At 38.7% G+C, this 26636-nt stretch overlaps 2 pseudogenes; both read right to left on the reverse strand.

The window, feature by feature from the left end:
- On the reverse strand, positions 8825–8874 carry RNA5SP254 (RNA, 5S ribosomal pseudogene 254; annotated as a pseudogene).
- Positions 16457–20959, reverse strand: DEFB108E (defensin beta 108E (pseudogene); annotated as a pseudogene).

Below are 26636 nucleotides of genomic sequence, written 5' to 3' on the forward strand. Positions count from 1 at the left end.
CAAGTGGGATGAAGCCAGATAGCATGAGATTTCATCATGCTACTCGAATGGCATGCAATTGAAAATTGTTTATTTCTGAAATTTTCCATTTAATATTTTCAGGTGAAAGTTGACCATAGGTAACTGAAGCCATGGAAAGTAAAATTGCAGATAAGGGAAGATTAGTTATTAGTGATTCACAGTAAATTTACAGCTGACCTCTTTTAAGAATGCGGTGGGATGACAAAAAATTCTACAAGGAGTGATTTGGGCTGAAATGAAAGAACATTATATAGTAATTTCAAACACATAAAGGAGTAAAAATGCTGGTGTGTGTGTGTGTGTGTGTGTGTGTGTGTATCTTTAATAAAGGGAACTTTAGTATATATAAGCAATATCCTCTTTTCTTCTGATTTAAAAACAACTGCACATCACATTGCAGCATTACTCACATTACCCAAGATATTGAAAAAACCTAAGTGTTTATGAACAGATGGATAAAGGAATTATATACATAATAAAATATCACTCAGTTTTGTAAAAAAGTTTCTTTCATTTGCATCAACATGGATGAACCTAGAAGACATTATGCTAATAATAAATCAGGCACAGAAAGAAAAATACTGCATTGTCTCATTTATAGGTAGACCCTAAACAAAAAAGCCCCACAAAAGCCCTAAGAAATAGAATGGTTAGAAAGAGGTGGGAGATGTGTGGAAGATGGAAGATGAAAGCCAAAGGGTACAAGTTTCAGCTATATAAAATACATATGCCTAGAGATCTCATGTACAACACAAGAGCTGTAGTTAATAATGTATCATACTCCAGAAATTTGCCCAGAGCAGATTTTAGATACTTTTACCACAAAAAAGTAACTATGTGAGATGACGGATATGTTAATTTGCTTGATTATGGCAATCATTGCACTATATATATATGTATATATACACAAACATAATATTGTATATCTTAAATACAATAAAAAGAAAGTCAACGCATAAAGCAATAAATATAAACCTATGTTGATGATCATACGATGTATAAAGATGTGATTTAGGTTGGGCCCGGTTGCTCACGCCTGTAATCCCAGCACTTTGGGAGGCCGAGGCGGGCGGATCACCTGAGGTCAGGAGTTCGAGAGCAGCCTGACCAACATGGAGAAATCCCGTGTCTACCAAAAATACAAAATTAGCTGGGCATGGTGGCCCATGCCTGTAATCTCAGCCAAAAAAAGCAGGGGTTGCAATTCTAGTCCCTGACAAAACAGAGTTTAAACCAACAAAGATAAAAAAAGACAAAGAAGAGTATTACATAATGATAAAGGGATCAATTCAACAAGAAGAGCTAACTATCCTAAATATATATGCACCCAATACAGGAGCACCTAGATTCATAAAACAAATTCTTAGACACCTGCAAAGAGACTTAGACTCCCGCAAAATAATAATGGGAGACTTTAACACCCCACTGTCAATATTAGATCAACAAGACAGAAAATTAACAAAGATATGCAGGACTTGAACTCAGCTCTGGATCTAGTGGACTTAATAACATCTACAGAACTCTCCACCCCATATCAACAGAATATATATTCTATTCAGTGCCACATGACACATATTCTAAAATCGACTGCATAGTTGGCAGTAAAACACTCATCAGAAAATGCAAAAGAACTGAAAATATAACAAACGGTCTCTCAGACCAGAGTGCAATCAAATTAGAACTCAGGATGAAGAAACTCACTCAAAACCACACAACTACATGGAAATTGAACAACCTGCTCCTGAATGACTCCTGGGTAAATAAGGAAATTAAGGCAGAAATCAAGAAGTTATTTGAAACCAATGAGAACAAAGACCACATACCAGACTCTCTGGGACACAGCTAAAGCAGTGTTAAGAGGGAAATTTATAGCACTAAATGCCCACATCAGAAAGCTAGAAAGATCTCAAAAATGACAGCCTAACATCACAATTAGAAGAGCTAGAGGAGCAACAACAAACAAATCCAAAAGCTAACAGAAGGCAAGAAATAACTAAGATCAGAGCAGAACTGAAGGAGATAGAGATACAAAAAAACCCTTCAAGAAATCAATTAATCCACAAGCTGATTTCTTGAAGAAATTAACAAAATAGACCACTAGCTAGACTAATAAAGAAGAAAAGAGAGGAGAATCAAATAGACACAATAAAAATGATAAAGGGGATATCACCACTGACCCTACAGAAATACAAACTATCACTAGAGAATACTATAAATACCTCTATGCAAATAAACTAGAAAACCTAGAAGAAATGCATAAATTCCTGGACATATACACCCTCTCAAGACTAAACCTGGAAGAAGGTGAATCCCTGAATAGACCAGTAAGAAGCTGTGAAATTGAGACAGTAATTAATAGTCTACCACCCAAAAAAAGTCCAGGACCAGACTGATTCAGAGCTGAATTCCACCAGAGATAGAAAACCAGCACAAGACAAGGATACCCTCTCTCACCGCTCCTATTCAACATAGTATTGGAACTTCTGGCCAGGGCAAACAGGCAAGAGAAAGAAATAAAAGTATTCAAATAGGAAGAGAGGAAGTCAAATTGTCTCTGTTTGCAGATGATGTGATTCCCTCTTTAATAAATGGTGATGGGAAAAATGGCTAGCCATATTCAGAAAATTAAAAGTGGACCCCTTCCTTACACCTTATACAAAATTTAACTCAAGATGCATTAAAGACTTAAATGTAAAACCCAAAACCATAAAGATTCTAGGAGAAAACCTAGGCAATACCATTCAGGACATAGGCATGGGCAAAGACTTCATGACGAAAATGCCAAAAGCATTTGTAACAAAAGTCAAAATTGACAAATGGGATCTAATTAAGCTAAAGAGCTTCTGCACAGCAAAAGAAACTATCATCAGAGTGAAGAGGAAACCTACAGAATGGGAGAAAATTTTTGAAATCTCCCCATCTGACAAAGGTCTAATATCCAGAATCTACAAGGAGCTTAAACAAATTTACAAGAAAAAACAACCCCCTTAAAAATTTGGCAAAGAATATGAACAGACACTTCTCAAAAGAAGACATTTATGCGGCTAACAAACATAAAAAAAAGCTCAACATCACTGATTATTAAAGAAATGCAAATCAAAACCACAATGAGATAATATTTCATGCCAGTCAGAATGGTGATTATTAAAAAGTCAAGAAGCAATAGATGCTGGTGATGCTCTGGAGAAATAGGAATGCTTTTACACTGTTGGTGGGAATGTAAATCAGATCAACCATTGTAGAAGACAGTGTGGCGATTCTTCAAGGATCTAGAACCAGAAATACCATTTGTCCCAGCAATCCCATTACTGGGCATATACCCAAAGGAATCATAAATCATTCTACTGTAAAGATACAAGCACACGTATGTTTATTACAGCACTATTTACAATAGGAAAGACATGTAACCAACCCAAATGACTATCAGTGATAGACTGGTAAAGAAAATGTGGCAAATATACACCATGGAATACTATGCAGCCATAAAAAGGAATGAGAACATGTCCTTTGCAGGGACATGGATGAAGCTGGAAGCCATCATCCTCAGCAAACTAACACAGGAACAGAAAAACTAACACCACGTGTTCTCACTCATATGTGGGAGTTGAACAATGAGAACACATGGACACAGGAAGGGGAACAACACACACCAGGGCCAGTAAGGGGATGGGGGCGCGAGGGGAGGGAGAGCATTAGGATAAACAGCTCATTCATGTGGAGCTTAAAACCTAAATGACGGGTTGCTAGGAGCAGCAAACCACCAGGGCACAGGTAAACCTTGCAACAAACCTACACGTTTTGCACTTGTATCCCAGAACTTAAAGTAAAATGAAAAAATAAAAACAAGTAGTACAAGAACAAGATAATTAAAATGATACACTAGAAATATTTAATACAAAGGAAGGCAATAATGGAGGAATGAAAGAATTGAAGAACAAAAAAGATATAAGATATATAGACAACAAATAGAAAAATGGCAGAAATCCTTCCTTATTAGGAATTATAGTCCATGTAAATGAATTAAATTCTACAATTAAAGGCAGAGATTGAGAGAATATATTTAAAAACATGATCCAATTATATGTTATCTATGAGGCTCATTTTAGATTAAAATACACAAGTAGTTTGAAAAAAAAGAATGGAAAATAATATTTCATGCAAATTGTGACCAAAAAAGAGCAGAAATAGCTATATTAATGTCAGACAAAATAGACTTCAAGACAAAATTTTTATAACCAAAAGGATATTGTATAATATTAAAAGGGTCAATCCATTAATAAGATATAATAATTATAAATATGTATGCACCTAATAAGAGAGCCCTGAAATACATATATGCTAATATAACTGAAGAGAGAATAGCTAAAAAGTATGGATATTCTGATACTCTAAATTTAATAATACAAAATAACTAGATAGAAGACCGGTAAGAAAATGGAAAACTTGAGCAACACTATAAACCAGTAGACTAACAGACATCTATACAACACTCCAATTAACAACAGGTGAATACATATTTTTTTCTTAAGTAAACACAAAACAGTCTCCAGAATAGTCCACGTTAGGCCATAAAATAAATCTCAGAAAATTTTAAAATATTAAAATCATACAAAATACTTTCTCCAATCACTGTGGGATGAAACTAAAAATCAGTAACAGAAAAAAAAACTGAAAAATTCACAAATATGTGAGAATTAAACACCATACCCCTACATAACCAATGTGTCCAAGAAGAAATCACAAAGGGAATTGAAAAATACTTGGAGAAGAACGAAAATGAAAATACAATCAGGGATGCAGCAAAAGCTAAGCTCAGATAAAAATTTATAGATGTAAACCCTTACCTTAAAAAAGAATGAATAAAATAGATAGCTAACATTCGAAATTCAGAACCCAGGAAAAGAAGAACTAATTAAATTCACAGCAAGCAGGAAAAATAAAATAATAAATATTAGAGCAAAGTGAAATAGAGAATAACAAAACAGTAGAGAAATCAACAAAACCAAAAGTTGATTATTTGAAAAGATCGAGAAACTTGACTAACCTTTTGCTATACTGACCAAGGAAAAAAGGAAGAATACATAAATTACTAAAATTAAAAATAAAGGCCAGGCGCGGTGGATCACGCCTGTAATCCCAGCACTTTGGGAGGCTGAGGCAGGCAGATCACGAGATCAGGAGATCAAGACCATCCTGGTTAACATGGTGAAACCCCGTCTCTACTAAAAAAATACAAAAAATTAGCCGGGCGTGGTGGCGGGCGCCTGGAGTCCCAGCTACTTCGGAGGCTGATGCAGGAGAATGGCGTGAACCCAGGAGGCAGAGCTTGCAGTGAGCGGAGATGGCGCCACTGCACTCCAGCCTGGGCAACAAAGCGAGACTCTGTCTCAAAAAAAAAAAAAAAAAAAAAAAAAAAAGAGTGGGGATACTACTACCAAACTTACATAGATAAAAGAAATTATAAGCGAACCCTATGAATAATTGTATGTCAACAAATTAGATACCCTAAATAAAATGATGGACAATTTCTACAAATAAACTACCAAAACTGAGTCAAGAAGAAATAAAAAATACAGATAGACATATAACAAGTGACGGTAGTGAGTCTGTGATCAAAAACTTCCAAAAATATAATCCAGGACCAGATGGCTGTACTAGTGAATTTAATCACGTTTAAAGAATAATGAAGGCTAAGCTTTCCTACAGTCTTTAAAAAATTATGACACATTTCCAAACTAATTTTATGTGACCAGTATTACCCTGACATGAAAGCAAGACAAAGACATTACCAGAAATGAAAACTAGTCCAGTATTCTTTATAAATAAAGATACAAAAATTCTTAACAAAATACTTTAAAATGGAATCTAGCAATACATTAGAAGGATTATACACCACAACCAAGTGCAATTTATTTTAAGAATTGGCTTGTGGGCGGTGGCTCAAGCCGGTAATCCCGGCACTTTGGGAGGCTAAGGCAGGCAGGTCACTTGAGGCCAGGAGTTCGAGACCAGCCTGGCCAACATGGCAATACTCCATCTCCACTAAAGATACAAATTTAGCTGGGCGCGGTGGCGCACGACTGTAATTTCAGCTACTCCGGTGGCTGAGGCAAGAGAATCGCTTGAACCCGAGAAGCAGAGGCTGCAGTGAGGTGAGATTGCACCACTGCCCTCCAGCCTGGGTGACACAGCAAGACCCTGTCTCAAAAAAAAAAAAAAAAGAAGAAAAAAAAGAAGTTTTTTTAAATCTGCAAAATCAATCAATATTAGTAGAATAAAGGGAAAAAAAGCCACAAGCGTCTCAAAAGACATAAACAATTATTTGACAAAATCTAGTGTCCTTTCATGATGACACTCAAGAAATCATAAATCCAAGACAATTTTCTCACCCTGATAACGAGCATCGATAAGAAAAGTGTAGCTAACATCATACCTAATAGTGAAAGACTAAAAGGTTTTCTCCTAAAAACAGGAACAAGAAAAGAATGTCTGTCCTTGACACTTCCGTTCAACAATGTGCTGAAAGTTCTAGCAAAGGCAATTAGGCTAAGAAGAAACTAAAGGCATTCGGAGGAAAGGAAGAAGCATTATTATCTCCATTAAGCCATGAAATGATATTACATGTAGAATACTCAAAAGAATTCACAAAAATCTATTAGGGCTAATAAACAATTTCAACAAAGTTTGAAGATACAAGATCAATATGCAAAAATCAGCTGCATTTCTTTTCTGTAATAGGAATGAACAACTTGGAAGTTAAATGAAGAAAACAATGATACTTACAATAGCATAAAACATTAAATACATAGGAAATAGTGCAATGAAGCAAGTGTAAGACTTGTCCGCTGAGTCTACAAAATATTTTTGAAAGAAAAAGAAGACCCAAGTGAATGGAAAGATTTCTCATGCTCATGAGTTGGAAGATTTAATATAATTTAACTGAAAATACTTCCCAAATTGATTTACAGATTTAATGCAACCCCTATCAAAATTCTGTCTTTTTGCAGAAATTGACAAAAATTATTCTAAAATTTATATAGAAATGAAAAGACGATTAAATATCCAAAACAATTTTGAAATAGAAGAACAAAGTGGGAGCACTCAAATTTCTCAATTTCAAAACTTACCTCAAAGTCACAATAATCTGAACAGTGTGATAATGGTGTAAGAATAGACATATAGACTGATAAAATCAAATTTAAAGTTCAGAAATAAACCCATTCATCTACATGCAATTGATTTTCAACAAGGGTGCCAAGACCATTTAATGAGGAACGAATAGTCTTCAACAAATGGTGCTGGGACAACTGGATATCCACATGTAAAAGGAAAAATTTGTCTACCTCATGCCATATATGAGAATTAATTCAAAACTGACCAAAGACCTTAATGTGATAACTAAAATTGTAAATGTTTAGGAAAAAATGGTACAAATATTTGTGACCTTAGATTAGGCAATGCTTTCTTAAATATGACACCAAAAACATAGCCACAAAAAATAGTTAAATTGGACTTCATTTAAGTTAAAAATTTGAGTGCATTAAAGGATACTGCCAAGGAAGGGGAAAAAAGCCCAATGAATATGAGAAAAATATTTGAAAATTGGATTAATATCCAGAATATATAAAGAACTACTACAAATCAGCAGCAGCAACAACGACAATAAAACACAAATGATCTAAGAAATGATCAAAAGATTTGAATAGTTTTTTGAAAAAGATATTTAAGTGGGCTATAAGCACATGAAAGGGAAATGAAAATCAAAACCACAATGAGATACCATTTGATATCGAGTGGAATAACTATCATCAAGAAAGATGGAAAATAACAAGTGTTGTGGAAAATGTGGAGAAATTGGATTCTCATACATTTCTGATGGAAACATAAAATGGTGGAGGTAGTTTGAAAAACAGGTTGGCATTTCTTAAAGAATTAAAAATAGAGTCACCATATAACCCAGCAATTCTACTCTTAGGTATATACTTAAGAAAATAGTTTCTACCTAAGAGTTGAAAAATTCTCAATGAATTCTCATAGCAGCATTATTCATAATAGTAAAAAAACCTGAAATAACCCAAATGCCCATCAGCTGATAAATATATAAACACAATGTGGTATATTTATATAACACAGTATTATTTATTGATAGAAGGAATGAAATAGCTATATATCCTACAACTTGGATGACCTTGAAAAATTATGTTAAGTTATGGAAGGCAGACACAAATGGGTATATATTTTATAATTCCAGTTATGTACTGTCCAGAATAGTCAAATCTATAAAGATAGAAAACAAATTATTAGTTTCTGGGGATTAGAGAAGGAGTTTCTTTTTGGGGTGATGGAAAGGTTTTGGAATCAAATAGTGGTGATGGCTGCACAACATTGTAAATATACTAACATCTATTAAATTAAACAAATCAAAATGGTTGAAATAGTGAATATTTCATTGTGTGAATATTATCTTAATAAAAATTGTTTTGATAAATACGATGTTTTGGAGTGTCCCTTTTTCTTTTTTTCTTAGAAGAGTTGGATATAATTACAATTTTTTAAATTTCTGAAATGTGGTTGAAAATATAAGTTAAGTGCCCTCTTTTTTGGAAGGTTATTGATTACAGAATTAGTTGCTTTATTAATTCAGGAAAACATTCTTATTTTCTGTTTCATCTTGAGTTAATTTTGTCAAGTTTCGTTAATGGTTTTGCATATTTAAAGATGCTTCCTTTTTTCCTGTTACTTTTATTTGTGCATTTTATTTTCTTTGTAATTCATACTGCAAAGACTGAGATGTTTCTGTTTTCTATTATTATTTTCTTCTGAGATCAGATGAGATCAGGAGTGTTCATGATGGTATTGCCAAAGACTCACCATTATTATTTTCTAATATTAGCAATTATGACCCTGAATTTCCTCTTTAATATTATACCAATGGAATCCAAAAAGTTTTAATAAGTAATATTTTAATTTCAATATATTTATTTTTTCACTAAGATTTTTTTCTTTAATTAACTGGGTTTTAGAACAGTTTCTTATAATTTCATATCAGTGTGATAAATGAACACTTTCTGTAGAGTGTCAGTTATTTGACTTTTGTTAAGATTTGGCATGTAGAACAAATCGTTATATGGTCAATATTTGTGCATATTCAATATGTCCTATTAAAACTGTATTCTGTAGTTGTTGAATGAAGTTATTTGTAATTATTCCCTTCACAAAAATAGTAAATTTTTATTAACATCCAATGTATTATTGATGTTTAAAGTCTTCTTTTTCTTTGAATGACTAAGAAAAATAAGTTATAATCTCCCACTATAGTTTGGAATTTTTTCATTTTTCCTTGTAGGTTGCTCAATTTTTGTTTTATAAATTTGATGCTATGTTATTAAAGTGCACATATTTTGATGTATATATTTTTCTGGTACCACACTGTTTTGGTGACTATGATCTTATAGCATACTTTGAAATCAGGTAGTGTGATGCCTCCAGATTTGTTCTTATTGCTTTGTCTTGCTTTGGATATGTGGGCTCTTTTTTGGTTCCATATGAATTTTAGAATTGTTTTTACTAACTCTGAAGAATGATGGTGGTGTTCTGATGACTCCATGGGGGTCATCCACGTTGTAGGATATATAGCTATTTCATTCCTTCTATCAATAAATAATACTGTATTATATAAATATACCACAATGTGTTTATATATTTATCAGCTGATGGGCATTTGGGTTATTTCAGCTTTTTTACTATTATGAATAATGCTGCTATAAGAATTCACTGAGAATTTTTCAACTCTTACGTACAAACTTTTTTCTTAAGTATATACCTAAGAGTGGAATTGCTGGGTTATATGCTAACTCTATTTTTAATTCTTTGAAAACTGCCAACCTGTTTTTCAAACTGCTTCCACCATTTTGGTGGTTTAAGGCTCTATTTTTTGTGCTGATGGGCCTCCTGCTGGGAGATGGCGCTTTCCAGAAAGCATCCGCTGTAGTAGTGTTGAGAGATGACAACATGCTAGCAACCCTCGCTTGCTCTCAGTGCCTCCTTGGCCTCGGCGTCCACTCTGGTTGCACTCGAGGAGCCCTTCAGCCCGCCACTGCACTGTGGGGGTCCCTCTCTGGGGCTGGTCAAGGCCAGAGCCGGCTCCCTCTGCTCGCAGGGTGTGGAGGGAGAGGCCGTGGTGGGAGCCGGGGCTGCGTGTGGCCCTTGTGGGCTGGCGCGGGTTCTGCGTGGGCGCGGGCTCGGTGGGCCCCACACTTGAGGCGGCTGGCCGGTGCCTGCTGGGCTTGACCGGGGGATGAGCTCTCTCTAGGCTGCTGGAGTGCCAGGGCTGGGTGCTGCAAAGTCCTGTGTGGCGAGTGCCATCAAGAGGTGAAGCCGGCTGGGCTTCTGGGCCCGCTGGGGACTTGGAGAACTTTTCTGTCTAGCTAAATGATTGTAAAAGCACCAATCAGCACTCTGTGTCTAGCTAAAACTTTGTAAATGCACCAATCAGCGCTCTGGGTCTAGCTAATCTGGTGGGGGACTTGAAGAACTTTTGTGTCCAGCTAAAGGATTTTAAATGCACCAATCAGCACTCTGTCTAGCTAAAGGTTTGTAAATACACCAGTCAGCACTCTGTCAAAACGGACCAATCAGCTCTCTGTAAAATGGACCAATCAGCAGGATATGGATGGGGGCCAGACAAGGGAATAAAAGCAGGCCACCGGAGCCCACAGCTCAACAGGCTTGGGTCCCCTTCCATGCTGTGGGAAGTTTGTTCTTTCGCTTTTTGCAACATAGCTTGCTGCTGCTCACTCTTTGGTTTCGTGCCGCCTTTAAGCGCTGTAACACTCACTGCGAAGGTCTGCAACTTCACTTCTGAGGCCAGCCAGACCATGAACCCACTGGGAGGAATAAGCAACTCTGGACACACCATCTTTAAGAATTGTTAACACTCACCAGGAGGGTCTGCGGCTTCATTCTTAAACTCAGCGAGACCAAGAACCCACCAATTCCGGACACTGTGGAGAGGGACCAGTGGTGGGCAGGGCTCCAGAACTCCAAAGATCATATGTTCTTTGTCTTCTGCTACCAGGGTGGATATGGAAGGACCATCAGGTGGGGGTGGGGCTAGGCGTGCCTGAGCTCAGACTCTCCTTGGGTGGGTCTTGCTTTGGCTGCTGTGGGGGATGGAGGTGAGATTCCCAGGTCAGTGGAGTTGTGTACCTAGAAGGATTATGACTGCCTCTGCTGAGTCATGCAGGTTGTCAGGGAAGTTGGGGAAAGCTAGCTTCCATGCACACTGAAAGGCTGGTCTCACTCCCACAATGCCCCTTGTGATAGCCCGGAGTCTGTTTCCAGGCCGAAGGCGAATCTGGCTTGAAAACTTACCTGAGGCTTTCTGCCTCCCGACTGACAAAGAAATGGGCTTCAGTTCTTACCCCGCCTGTGAAGTCTGCAAGCCTGATTCACGCCCTCCCCCGAGTTCTGGCCAGGAGGCTTCCAGCCCCATTCAATTTTTTACAAAGTTCAGCTAGAGAGGTTCTTCTCCCTGTGAAGTTTTACCCCCTACTCCTCTGGCCACCCCCCCGATGGATGTCTGCGGTGCCAGGCAGGAATGGGCTACTTGGGGATCCAGCGGCCTTCCAGTGCCTTTGTGCTACTTCCTCTACTCCTGTATGTTGCTCAGCTCGGCTCTCTAACTTGACTCAGCTCCAGGTAAAGTCACGAACTTCTCCCACAAACAGACTTTCAGCTTCTCCAGTGGGGGTGTGTGTTCATGAGACGAGGGTCTCCCTTTCCCATTTCCGTGGTTAGGGGACTTAAAGTATTTGGGGTGTCTCCCAGGTCCTGCAAGAGCAGTCTGCTTCCTTCGGAGGGTCTGTGGGTCCTGTCAGGATTGCTGGTCTGCTCTTGCAGTCCATCTGGAGCTAAAATTCACAACGCAAGCCTCCGCATGCTGCTCTGTCCAGAGCTGCCATCTAGTTCTGCCTCCTGTCTGTCATAATCCCTCATGACCCTTGAGCTTTTTTTTTCATATGATTGTTGGCAGCATGTATGTCTTCTTTTGAGAAGTGTCTGATCATGTTTTTGCCTATTTTTAAAGTTTTTTTTTTTTGTAAATTTGTTTAAGTTCCTTGTAGATGCTGTATATTGGATCTTTGTGGAATGCATAGCTTGCAAAAGTTTTCTCCCATTCTGCAGGTTGTCTTTTTGCTCTGTTAATAGTTTCTTTTGCTGCCCAGAAGCTCCTTAGTTTAATTACATCCCATTCGTCAATTTTTGCTTTTGTCACAATTGCTTTTGGTGTCATTGTTATAAAATTTTCGCCCGTGCCTATGTCCTGAATGGTATTGCCTAGGTTGTCTTCCAGGGTTTTTATAGTTTTGTGTTTCACACTTAAGTCTTTAATCCATTTAATCCTGCATATGAAGACCGATCTTTATGTTTAGAAATTCTTTCATCTTCTTAATCTAGTCTATTGTTGAGGTTCTCAAATTGTATTATTTATTTTATTTATTGAATTATTCAATTTCAGCTGTTAAATTCCTTTTCACTCATTTTATGGATTTGTTTGATTGAAATCTGTTGCTGGAGAATTATTGGTTTTCCTTCAGGGATGCTATGTTTCCTTGCTCTTTAATGTTTCTTATGTCCTTACATTGATATTTGAATATCTGGTAAAACAGTTGCTTCTTCTAATTTTATAGATTGGCTTTGGTAGTAAAAGACTGACTTCTGTAGCTGTATCTATACTGTTGAATCAGTAAGACACTTTGCCTTTAGTTCTGAGTTGGTTCAGTAGTTTATACTTCTATGATTTCTTCAGCTATAATCAGCATCACTGATGTCTGTGAGCTCCTCAGTGTCTTAGCCTTCATTGTTAATGGAGGCTGTGGTGAGATTTTGCTGGGGAAAGACAGGCCAGGCAGTTTGGTCCTTGGGCACCAGTTGCATTGGTCTTTGAACTTGTGGGTGATGAACGTGGGCACCAGTGGTTGAAGTTTCAGGCAGGCCATCCTTGGGCCTTCAGGTGGCTTTTTTTTTTTTTTTTGAGATGAAGTTTTGCTCTGTTGCCCAGGCTGGTGTGCAATGGCGTGTTCTCAGCTCACTGCAACCTCCGCCTCCCAGGTTCAAGCAATTCTCCTGCCTCAGCCTCCCGAGTAGCTGGGATTACAGGCATGCACCTCCATGCCCGGCTAATTTTGTATTTTTTTTTTTTTGTTTTTTTTTTTTTAGTAGAGATGGAGTTTCTCCATGTTGGTCAGGCTGGTCTTGAACTCCCGACCTCAGGTGATCTGCCCCCTTCAGCCTTCCAAAGTGCTGGGATTACAGGCGTGAGTCAGGTGGCTTTCTCAAGTGCCAGCAGTGACAGTGGTGAGCTAGGGAGATAGGCATGCCCTCAAGACCCTGTGCTGTAGTCATAGCAGGTCAACTCTTGTGACCCCAGATGGCATGTGCAGACACCAACAGTCATGGCAACATGATGGACAGAGTAGTCCTCAGGCTTTCACCTGGTGCAAATATGTGGGCATTGGTGGCAGCCGTGATGGCAGGCTGGGAAGTCCTATCCTTAGGCTCTCAGGAGACACACAGGTACTTGATGGTGATAGGCATGGTGGATTAATCCCCAGGCTCCCAGACAATGTGCACAGGCACCACCAGGCTGGGTGGGCTCATACTTAGGTCACAAGAAGGCATGCACAGGTGCCAATGACAGACAGCAGTGTGGGTTGATCCCCAGCGTCCTGGACAACGACCTTGGGTAGTGGTAGTGACAGCAATGGGTGGGATGGGCCTGTGCTCTGGCCCTGGAATAGTGCTCAGGCAGGTGAGTCCCCAGGTCCCCTGAGGATGCCTGCAGGTGTGCAGTGGCCCTGCTCCTGGGGGTCAGGATTGCTGTCAGTGTCAGTGGTCCTGGGAAGGTGACTCTCCACTTGTGAAGAGTGCCTGCTTCAGCTCCCTTTGTTCTGGGGGCAGCCTCTCTAGTGAATGGCACTGCCAGTTCCCTGGAGTGTAGGACACTGTGTAGGCTAGAGTGATGGGGACCAAGCTACACTGGTGAGTTCAGCTGGTATTGTGACTCTGCAGGCCTCTGGATGGACATGAGGGAATGTCACTGAGGGTCCAGAGATGTGGAGATGCAGGGGCTGTTGGGCCCCAGGGCAGGATGTAGTCTTTTGGGGGCTGGGCTCTCAAATTGGCATTGTGCCACAGCTGCCTGTGTCTGGGGGCAGGTGCAGATGATCCAGTGCCAACTCCTTCTCTGGGACAATGACCATCACATACACTCCAGGCAGCTCCCTATAGTAGTCTCAGGGCCTGCGAGGGCTGAGAGACCGTCCCTTGGCTAGGATTGCAGTGTCCACAGTGGGAATATGGACCACTGGGGCTCTCTTTTTTACCTTTTCACCACACTGCAGAGCCTGTCCTGGCTTTAAGCTGATTCTGGCTGGGCTGCTGCTTCATTTTCCTTTCCTTCCATGCCTCAGAGATTCCTCGTCACTTTGCTGCTGAATTCTAGTGCCCTCTTTCATGCCCTCTTCAAGGTATGATTATCTACTTGCTGTTTTGGTCTTTCTTTGGGAGGACACAGTGCCTGGTACCTCTAGTCAGCCATCTTGAAGGCCACCTCCTAGCAATGAGAAGATAATATTCTAGGTGACGGCTTTAATATACATGTCCAAACTGCTTCTTTTCTAGGGAAGCACTTACTCTAAGAAATAAATGTTATATAGTGCAAAAATATATTAAAGGGTCAGTTGGTGATGCGGTTTCAAGAGTGGCACTGAGGAAAACTTGGCACTTCCACAGGGTTGAGTTGGTTGGAATATATCTCAGTCTCTGAGATTTTGAACCCAATGTTTTGAACTTTTTGAGATTTCGAGTAGTCCATGTGACATAACTTAACATTGTTTCTTGGCCAAATCAGTCATAGTGAAAAATAAAATCCAGCTAATATACTTTTAAATATCTTGATTCTATACTCTTTCAATGACCAAGGGGAGGCCCCTCACTACTTTACACAAAAAAGAAAACTCTATGAATGAGAATCTCTTCACACAAAGCCACTAAAATTGTGTCTAAATGGAGCAAAATTGTGACAGGTGGTAAAAGCACTCAGTGGCTGTTGTAGGCAGAATAATGTCCCCTCTGTCTCCTGCCAAAGCTATCCACATCCTAACTCCTGGGTCCTGTGAATGTGCCACCTTGTAAGGCAAAGGGGAATTGAGGTTTCATGTGAAATTAAGGCTGTTAATCAGCTGACCTTAAAATAGGGAGATTATCTTAGATTATCCAGGTGGGCCCAACGTAATCATGAGTCCTAAAAAATGGAAGAGTGGGGAGAAGATGAATTCAGAATGATGGAATGTGAGGACTCAATGCTCCATTGCTGGCTTTGAAAATGGATGAAGGAAGCTATGGTTCCCAGGAGTAGCCTGTCATTGCTGGGATAAAGGTGCAGGAAGAAAACTGCAGAGCTTCCAGAAGAAAGCTCAGCCCTGCTAACACCTTGATGTTGGCCCACAGAGATCCATCTGAAACCTGCAGCCTATAGAACTGTCAGATAATGCATTTGTGTTGCTTTAAGCCACTAAGTTTGTTGTAATTTGTGATAGCAGCCATAGGAAGCCAATACAGTGTTTTAAAAGATGGCAGAAAATGCTGAATGATTATGCCCAGTGAAAGCTGGGAACTGAAGGAATTCCCTGAATCTTGGCCAGGCATGCATGTACAGACCCAGGGATTTGCCTCCGAAAAGGGTGCTGAAGAAATTGCCTTTATTCTGAGTGCAACTCTTTTTATAATTTAGATTTCTGGTGAAGTCTGGTTGACGTGATTGTGCAATTTTCATATGTGGTGCACCTTTATCAGGGAGAGACAGACCCCTGCAAGGCTGCATGGAATAGGATGGCGCATTTTCCCTGTAAAAAATGGGAGTGGTCTTCCCACATGCAGGGTGAAGGGTTACAGTGCTAGACAAATCAATAGGTATGGTTGAAAGTTCCCCCACCCTCCTGTAAGTCATTTTCAACTAAGAGCTCATCTAGATGGGATAGAAGGATACTGGAAACCAAACAGTAATCAAGTCATAACATGGCATATAAACTTATTTCTTTCTTTCTTTCTTTCTTTATTTTTTTTTTGAGACAGTGTCTTGCTCTGTCACCCAGGCTGGAGTGCAGTGTCGGGATCTCGGCTCACTGCAGCCTCCACCTCATGGGTTCAAACGATTCTCCTGCTTCAGCCTCCTGCGTAGCTGGGATTACAGGTGCCCGCCACCATGCCTGGCTAAATTTTTGTATTTTTAAAAGAGACAGGGTTTCACCATGTTGGCCAGAATGGTCTTGATCTCCTGACCTCACGATCCACCCAGCTTGGCCTCCCAAAGTGCTAGGATTACAGGCATGAGTCACCGCACCCAGCCAGTAATATAAACTTTTAAAAGAGGTTTTGTGCTGGTTGGTTTTGGTTTATTCTTTTTTGAGGATTCAATAAAAATCCCTGTGAGAAAAATGGAGAGAGGGAACGGGAGACAGGGAGATAGGGACAGGGAGAGAGAAAAAAGAGAACCTAAAACCACCAGAAAACAACAGGCTTCAGTCCTTTTTGTGTGTAGTGCTCTCAATTCTTGGTTGATGCTCCAGAGGCAGGCAGCAGGGTCGGCTATTTAAACATCTCCCTACATGGATTTCTGTTTCGAGGCAAAAGTCCTGACAGGAGCCATTTGGACGTTCACAGATCTCCTTGAATTTGCCCCTGGCTACAGCAGAAGAGGGTTATTGTAAGCATTCATCAGTCTTTACTTTGTATTGAATTACATGGACGTAGGGGGCAGTGCCTGAAAATAATCTTGTGTGGATTTGTGTGTGTGTGTGTGTTATTTGATTTCTTAAACACTTAAAAATCTGCTGTCACACAAAAATTTGGATTTTTTGGTGTTCTTGAAAAATCTGAGAATGTTGGGTGCACCTACATGACAAAAGGCTGGAGGTGAGTAGCCCGCTCCCCTTTACAAGTTCTAGAGCATGCAAGTTTCAGTTTATTTCTTCCTTATTATCTTCCAACACTGATGGGAGATTTCAGCCTTTCAAAAAAATATAATGTCTTGTACTATGGATTTTCCTGGAGTGAAAGAGAAGAAAATCTCTTTTGGCTCATCTCTTTTTACTCCTACACACACACACACACACACACACACACACACACACACACTCTATATGATAGATTATAACAGATGTATCTTTCAAAAGTAGAACTGAAATTTAGACCTAAAAGATAATATACTTTAATTGTTAGAGAGGATATTTTTCCTGTTGAAGGGAACAATATTCCTATGTGTTTAATACACAAATATATCTGTGCCAGTACTTGTTACCCCCTGAGACTTCACACACTACTTATATCTCTGGCACTGGTCTTTGAGGTTGCAATTTTTCTTTAGAAACCATTGCATATATTAAGAGTGAAACATTCAAGGTCTTCTTAAAGGCTTAAAAACTATACTTGTTGAAAACATTGAATAGTATTTCATTTATGTCCGAAAATATCACTGCTCTGGGGATAGGCCACACACACTGAGGTATTTAGTTTGAAAAGTGTTTTAATTCTGAGCAGTCTTTGTATGTAACACAGAGCACCTTTTCCATGACAACTTCTTGGCAATAAGAGAAGTATAAAAACCAGCACCTTTTTTTTTTTTCTATTCTGGAACACAAAAGCCAATTCTAGAATAGCTTTCAATCAGTACAGCAATTTTAATAAACATTCAATAAATGCCTATTTAATTGAACTGAAATCCAAATGTATTAGATTCCATTTAACTTTTCAATGGTCACAAAGCAGTTAGTGGATTGATGTGAAGACCAAATATATGCAACATCATATTTATATCTATAAGGCAAATTGGGAAATAAAGGTCATGCCTTTCTGAAGACAATGGTAATTCTAAATGTTGACCACTTGGTAGAAACAAGCTGAAATCTGAGTTTTTTGATCCCTGAGCTTTCCATCTCTTCCTTTTATCTGTAAGTAGTCAGCTACTAAGTATAGTAGTACCCAAGCCCACTGGCCTTGTGCTAAAATTGGCCCTTTGCAGCTGGAAGAGTCATAAGAGATTAGTATAGTGTAGAGGATGAACCACTGACCTGTCTTGTGATATGTGATAAATCACTCTTGGACATCCCTCTGTGGTAGTACTTCTTGCATTCTACTATGGGTGGCGTTTTCCCATCTGACCTCAATTCTTGATAATGAATTTCTTGAGGGCAGGAATCATATCTTATTCTCCTCTGTATGTATATTCCAGAATCTGATTAAAGTCTTGTCTTATAATAGCTATTCAGTAAATGATTGTGGAATAATTGATTAAAATACAGCTATTTTCTAACTTGCAATATGTTTGTGTGGAAATTTGTTGTTACTCTCGGTTCACAGGTCTTTGAATCATGTGTACTATTTTACTATACCTGATTCTATTGAGCATTATATTTTCAAACCACTTTTCAAGAAACTTAATACAGAACTACCATTTGACCCACTAATCTCACTACTGGGTGTATATCCAAAGGAAAGTAAATCAGTCTTGTAAAAAGACCTAAATTTGTATGTTCATCACAGTGGTATTCACAGTAGTGAAGGTATGGAATCAAACTAGGTGTTCATCAACAGTGGATTGAATAAAGAAAATGTAGTACATATATGTCACGGAATACTATGCATCCATAAAAAGGACCAAATTGTGTCCTTTTCAGCAACATGGATGCAGCTGGAGGACTTTATTCTAAGCAAATTAGCTCAGGAACAGGAAGCCAAATGCCACATATTCTCAGTTATAAGTGGGAGCCGAGCAATGAGTGCACATGGACATAAAAATGGGAACAAGAGAGATTGGGTCTTACCAGGAGGGGAGGGAGAGGGAGTAAAGTCTGAAAAGGTACCCTTTGGGTACACCCTACTTGCGTGACAGAGTTATTCATACCCCAAACCTCAATATCACACAATATACCCATGTAACAAATCACACATGCACTCCCTGAATCTAAAATAAAGGTTGAAATTATTTTTAAAAATTGAAATTACAAAAGGCTTTTTAAAATTATTATGTACCATAGTTCATCTGCAAGAATTCAAATAACATTAGGGATTTTAAAAATCTTTCGTTTTCATTTGTTCTTTGCTTGTGAACCTTGTGTATTGCATATTGTGGACACTATGTCTTTTCCAGCCATTTGCTTCAGGAACAAAAGATAGAGTTACAATGAACATAGGATGTCTTGTCTAGTCACTTACCTTAAAGATGAGGAAATAAGCTGATGGAAAGGAAGAAACTTGCCCAAGATTACCCAGTGATCGAGTGAGGCAGATGATAGGGAGAGCACTAAGGCTTGGTATTCTGAGCCTCATTCTGTTTTCCACTCTTGCCCTCTCTCTGTGTCCTCCTCTCCTCTCTAGCCTTCTACAAAAAGTTGGCAGTTCTGCTTCAATGTCTACCTAAGGACATCCAGAGGAGATGCCACCTTTCATTAGGCTGCATTCTTTAGCACCATCCTGTGTTTTCTTCTCCAGTCTTGTTGCATCCCATTTTTGACTGTGAGTCGTGCTTCCGCCTGTGCTGGTCTATCCAATTAGTTGCTTCTATTTTTATTGAGTGACAGTGAAAACAAACAAACAAAAAAATTTGTTTATCCAAATTTGGAATTTTTAAACCTTGATTAAAAGAATTGATTTTCTGGGGTTATATATGTAAGACACATATTTTAAAATATTTTTAACTAATTAAAAAAAATCAAACCCATGTATTTAGCCAGGGTGACTATTTAACAAGTACTAGTGAGACAGGAATTCAGTAATGCCACAGGGATAATAATCTTATGTCAGTCCCGGATGTTGTGTGCTACCGAGTTAATATGATTGGATATGGTATCACCTTTTTTCAGGCTTTAGAAAGTCAAACAAAGGAACAGCACAACAGAACTCTAGGGTGGGATGTATAGGGAAAGCCAGGATATTAAAACAAATTGTTGACTCTGACATTTACCCCACTGTTGGGAAAAGCACTTCAGTTTCCAGGGCCTTATTTTTTTTCTCTATAAAACAGCAAAAATAGAGGCAATAAGTTGCTTATTCATCCTTGAATACACATGTTCAGGAGTTCCAGAAAATTTTCGAATCTACTTTGGGTGTCTGGTAACCACCTTGGGCAAATCCAAGAAGTCCTATACACACTTCTCCAAAGCATGTCTGTGCAAGGGGCCTTATACCTGTGATTAATGTTCGCATGCTGAATGCAGTAGGCTATGCTCTGGTGTGGGGTCATCCCTGGTTCCTGTGTTTAAATTCTACAAGACTAGATGCTGAGAAGGAAGAGGGAAAGCCAGGGATGGAGATGGAGCCTTAAGGGGAAAAGTCAAGCCCCAGGGACCAACAGTATTGGGGAGCAATAGGTTAAAGATTTCTTAGATTATAATAATATTTTCAAAGAGACTTCTTCCACCAATCCCTTCTTTCTGAGCCTACCACACCTTTGGCATAGCTCTTATGCCAGTTCTTAGGATAACTAACTTTTGCCGAAAGAAACTAGAGGAGCTTTGGAGACAAAAATTTAGTAGAATAATGCCTGATTTTTAATTTTTGCGGTCTAGTAACTGCTAGTAAACTTGCCTAATATGGAGATGGAATAAGAGGGTTTCAAAGACTTGAAACACCATTGACTTCATTTAACTGAGTTGCTATGGAGAATTAACGAATTAGATGGCTGCAGGCCTCTCAGCCAATGTGTCTTCCAGATTTCCTATGAGACCCCCTTTTCTGGTCACAGGTGATGGTGATTTCTCTTTGAGTATTGAATCCCTGTAAGGTGTTAGGCACTCTACTCTTACCAAGTTTATTTTGTTACCTGGTAGAACTTGGCTCATAAAGAAGAAAATGGTGAAGAGGAGGACAGCAATCCTCACGGCTGAAGAAAGAAGAAAGTTGGGCTTCATTTCCAGGAGGCAGAGAAAACTTCCGTCTGTGGCTGTCTAGCACCAGTGGAATGTCTCTGTTTGGATAAGAAGGGTCTTTCTGTACCTCATTAGGGATAGTCACAGATAGAGGTGTTCTATGCACGCAAAATTGCTTTTATGGGAAGACTGAGAGTCCTTTTTTTTATTGGACAGCCAGTTCATTAGAATGATGTGGGTGCACAGTTTTGGCCAGAAAACCTTGTTAAATGGGGACATAAGCTACAAACATTTTGGCAAAAGATGAAAGGTTATGAACAAACAACCATTTATATTGTTACAATAAATTAGACTGTGTTGCGAAATCAGTTGGTTTCATTAATGACCAGACATTTTTTTAGTGAACACTTCCCAGACTTTACTAGCCCTGCTAAGAATTAATCACCCCACTTGCTCCTGGTCTGAAACTCCAAAGTGCTTTGTTTATGTTACAGTACTTACTGCCTTGTGTGTTAGATTAGTGAATGTATATTTGTCTCATCCACTGCTGTATGAACTTCTTGCTTGCTAGGACAAGGCTATATTCCTCAGAACTGAGGAGGGAGTTGAATCATGTGGCTATTTATTCTCAAATCCTCTTCACCAAGTGGAACAAAACAACAGGGAAAGACCACCGCACATGGAGGCAGGAGGTCTGGATTTGGGTTCTAGATCTCTAGATCTATTACTAACTGGAGGTATGGATATAGTCAGGAAAATTGTCTTCCTTAGGTGCTTCCTTGATAGCACCTATAAAGGTCGAGATCTGTTGGATCTAGATCAGGGGATTCTCAATCATTACTATGCAGAAAATCAACTGGGAGAGTTACTTTGCAATACAGATGCTTAGTTCCATCTCATGATATTTTTATTTTTTTAAAAAAAATTGGTCAAGTATTTTTCATTAAGTAATGTAAACTTTCTTAGTCTACATCTAATAAAACTCCCACCAGCATACAAATACATTGAATGATATTAGCAGCAGAATCTTTAAATAAAGTAACCATACACAACTATGAGGCCACCTTTTTTTCATTGCTTATTATTTCATGCTATTTGTCACCATTGTCATCATAATCAGCCTCATCCTACATTGTTGAACACCCATCATGGACCATATGGCATAAACATTTTTCCTACGCATAAAGGAGCATATGTTCTCTATATGTATATAAAATTAATGTCTGAACAAAGTGGCTTAAACAAGGCAGAAGTTTGTTTCTCCCTCACTTAAATCTATAGTTCTACCTACCATGGCTAGTACAGATACTTGCCAAATTCATTAGGGATGCAGGCCCCTTCCAGCTCTCTGTTCTGCTATACTTTAGAAGAGGCTCTAGTTTGGCTGCTAAATTCCCACTTACCATTTTTGAATTCCAGGCAGCAGGAAGGAAAAAAGCCAAGAGAGAAAAACAAGGGAACATCTACCCCTCCTTTTAAGGTTTTTAACCAACCCCTCTTGTTTTTTTTTCACCGACTTTGTTGAGCTATGATGACATTTAAAAAGCTGTACATATTTAAGGTGTACATCTCAGTGAGCTTGGGGATAAGTATACACCATGAACACATCACTACCATCAAGATTATAACCATATCCTTCACCTCCCTAAGTCCCCCCCCCTTTATTATTATTTTTTTTGGTAAGAAATATTGGTAAGAATACAAAATCTACCCTTTTAGCAAATTTTAAGTATGCAATACAGTATTCTTAGCTGTAAGCACTATGCTGTAAACGAGACCTCCAGAACTTACTTACGTGGTATATCTGAAACTTTGTGCTCTAACCACATCTACCCATTTCCCCAGCACCACGGCACCTGGCAACCACCATTCTACTCTCTGCTTTTGTGAGTTTGTCGATTTTAGATTTCAAATACAAGTGAAATCATATAGTAATTGTCATTCTGTGGTTGGCCTATTTCATATAACGTAATGCCCTCCAAGTCCATCCATGTTGTCACAAATGACAGCATTTCATTATTATGTAACACTGAATAATATTCCATTGCATATATGTATTAGCCATTTATCCTGATACTCTCCCTCCACCTGCCTCCCAACAGGCCCCAGTGTGTGTTGTTCCCCTCCTAATATCCATGTGTTCTCACCGTTCTGCTCCCACTTGTAAGTTAGAAGCGAAGTGTTTGGTTTTCTGTTCGTGGGTTAGTTTGCTGAGGATAATGGCTTCCATCTCCATTCATGATCCTGCAAAGAACATGATCTCATTCCTTTTTATGGCTGCATAGTATTCCATGGTGTATACGTACCACATTTTCTTTATCCAGTCTGTCACTGATGGACATTCGGGTTGATTCCATGTCTTTGGTATTGTGAATAGTGCTGCAATGAACATATGTGTGCATGTATCTTTATAATAGAATGATTTATATTCCTTTGGGTATATACCCAGTAATGGGATTGCTGGGTCAAGTGGTATTTCTGGTTGTAGGTCTTTGAGGAATCACCATACTGTCTTCCACAATAGTTGAACTAAATTGCATTCCCACCAACAGTGTAAAAGTGTTCTTATATCTCAACAGCCTCATCAGCAGGTAGTTTTATTTAAAAAATTTTTGAGAAACCTTCATACTGTTATCTGAAATGGACATAGTAATTTGTATTTCCACCGCAAGTATACAAGGGTTATCTTTTCTCCACATCCTCGCTAATACTTGTTATACATCTTTTTGATAATAGCTATTCTAAGAGGTATCAGGTGATATTTCATGGTGGTTTTTATCTGCATCCCCCTGATGATTAGAGATGGTAAGAATATTTTCACATATTTGTTGGCCATTTGTATCTGTTCTTCTGGGAAATGTCTACTCAGATCTTTGCTCATTTTTATTATTATTATTATTTTTTTGAGATGGAGTCTCGCTCTGTCACCCAGGCTGGAGTGCAGTGGCGTGATCTCGGCTCACTGCAAGCTCCGCCTCCCAGATTCACACCATTCTCGTGCCTCAGCCTCCCAAGTAGCTGGGACTACAGGCACCCACCACCATGCCCAGCTAATTTTTTGTAATTTTTTTTTTCTTTTTTTAGTGGAGACAGAGTTTCACCGTGTTAGCCAGATCTTTGAGCATTTAAAAAAAGAATTCAACTTTTATTTTAGATTCAGGAGATGCATGTGCAGGTTTTTACATTGGCACATTGTGTGATGCTGAGGCTTGGAGTATGGATGATCTTGTAACCCAGATAGAAAACATAATACCCAATAGACAGTTTTTAAGGCCTTTGTCCCCACCTTCCCTTCCCCCTCTAGTAGTCCCCAGTATCTGTTGTTCCGATCTTTACATCCGTGTGTAACCAACGCTTTGTTCTCACTTATAACTAAGAACATATGGTATTTGGTTTTCTCTTCCTGCATTATGTTAGAATAATGGCCTCCAGCTGCATCCATGTTGGTGCAAAGGACATAATTTTTTTATGGTTGTGTAGTATTCCATGGTGTACATATACTGTATTTTCTCTATCCACTGTAACATTGATGGGCATCTAGGTTGATTCCATGTCTTTGCTATACGACCTTGGGGAAAGAGAGTCTTGCTGCTTGCTTGTGGGACTTGCCTTGGAAGGTAGATAAGTTCACTGCATCCTCCAACTTTTTATTTCTGGTGAGTTCTCCAAGCACTGAGATGTGAACTGGCCTCATTCCCTTACAATGGTACTGTTACCAGTAGAAGAGATTCCAGTTTCTGGCAGCGTATCTGCATGGGTCCATAAGCAACTTCAGTCCTTGCCTCCTCAGAAGAAATAATTTGACTGAAGGGCATACAGCAGAAAAAGAGACTGAGCGGTAAGTTTCAGAGCAGGAGTGGAAGTTTATTTAAAAAGGCTTTAGAACAGGAAGGAGAGGAAAATTCTCTTGGAAGAGACCCGAACAGATGCCTGAATGTCCAAGAAAGAAAAGAGAAGAGCCTTTAACCTTGATCCTGCCATGGGTTTTCCTCTTTCCCATGATTCTAACTTTAGGGAGCGTTTCCGGCTTGCACAGTGCTTTCCTTACCCTTTGAAATTGAGCATGCACGGTGTGTTTAGGGAGTTATATGCATGTCCATCTGAAGCTTTCTTTCCTTTTCCGGTGGAGTGTGCCCCCGGAAGATTATGCTTTGCCATTTTTGTCTCTTAACATGCATGCCCAAGAAGTTGCTTCTTCCTGAAGTCTGCATTTAACTAACATTTTTGATGTTAACAGGTGTAGACCATCAGGAAATGGCCTCTCTTTGGTGCTGCCTAATTATCATTTTTAGAGAGGCAATGTGATAATTGACAGGCCATCACCTGACATTTCTAGTGGGTAGGGGAAGAGCCCTCTCCTGCCCTGCTCATGCTCTTCTACCTGTAACAAGACAAGCCTTGTATATCATTAGACATTTGTCCCATCAAGGCAGCATCTCATTATTACATTTTATTGTGTGAATTGTTACTTCACATTCTCATAATCTGTGTTCACTATTTGTGTGCCTTTTCCACTTTTGTTTTGACCATATCTCATTATTTGAACTGCCTCCTCCAAGATTCTAGATCTGCATTGGCCAATATAGTAACTACTAGTCACATGTGACTATAAACTGTAAATTAATTATAATTAAATAACTAAATGACATATCCTTAGTAGTAATAGCCAAAGTCTTGGCCAAACTAGAAATTCTGTAACTACATATGTGTGGTAGTTACTGCATTGGACAATGCAGATATAGAGAATTTCTTTCATCACAGAAAATCGTGTTGGGCATGTTGGCTACCACTTATTTTTAAATTCTATTTGTGTGGTTTATAGTTAAATTATATTCTGCTTCTCTATATTCATTTCCTTTCACAGATTTTCTCAAGCAATTTTTAAATTTCATTCTTTTACCTTATTGAGGTAAGTACTTAGATTATTTTTTTAAAATAATGCACAGCAAATAATTTTTCCATCGATATTGTTTTAGCTTTATTGTATTGGTACTTTTATGTACTATATTCAGGTATTATTATTTTTCATAACTTACTTTTAAAATTGTGACAAGTTTATTTAAAATAGATTTCTCCCTTGATTTTCAGATGTTAGATTCTGTCTTCCATTGCTGTATTTTAATTTAATTTAATTTTATTGTATGTAAATATGTTGCATATTCCTTTTTTTAAAATGTGAGATATTTCCTCTCTCCTGTTACATAAACTTTGTATGCAGTGTTCATTATGCACTTTAAAAATAAATATTTTGTTTCAGGGCATGATGCTTTCACACATAAAACCTTAGAATAATTTTAAATTCCATTCCACTTTCACCATTCCTGAACTGCTTTGAATATATTGGAGGTTGGAAGCCATGAGAGGCTTGCAATCCTGTCAAGATAATAGGATTTTCCATTTATAGTGTAATCTGACTTGCAATCCCGTCAAGATAATAGGATTTTCCATTTATAGTGTAATCTGATATATATTCGTTCTGGTTTCATACTTTAAAAAAATCTATTCTCTTTTACTCTGTGGTGATCTTTGCTTTTCTATTTTTTCATTGCTAGAATGTGAGCTGCTGTTTCCCTAGCACCTCAGATGTCATTCAACATTGTATAGCACTGGTGTTGAGAAGTGAGAGAATCTACTAAATAATAGCACTTTTCGAGACTGCAGTTCTGAATTAAAAGGAAGGGAAAGGAC

This window comes from Homo sapiens, chromosome 8 (genome assembly GCF_000001405.40).
Source record: "Homo sapiens chromosome 8, GRCh38.p14 Primary Assembly".
NCBI classification, from domain to species: domain Eukaryota; kingdom Metazoa; phylum Chordata; class Mammalia; order Primates; family Hominidae; genus Homo; species Homo sapiens.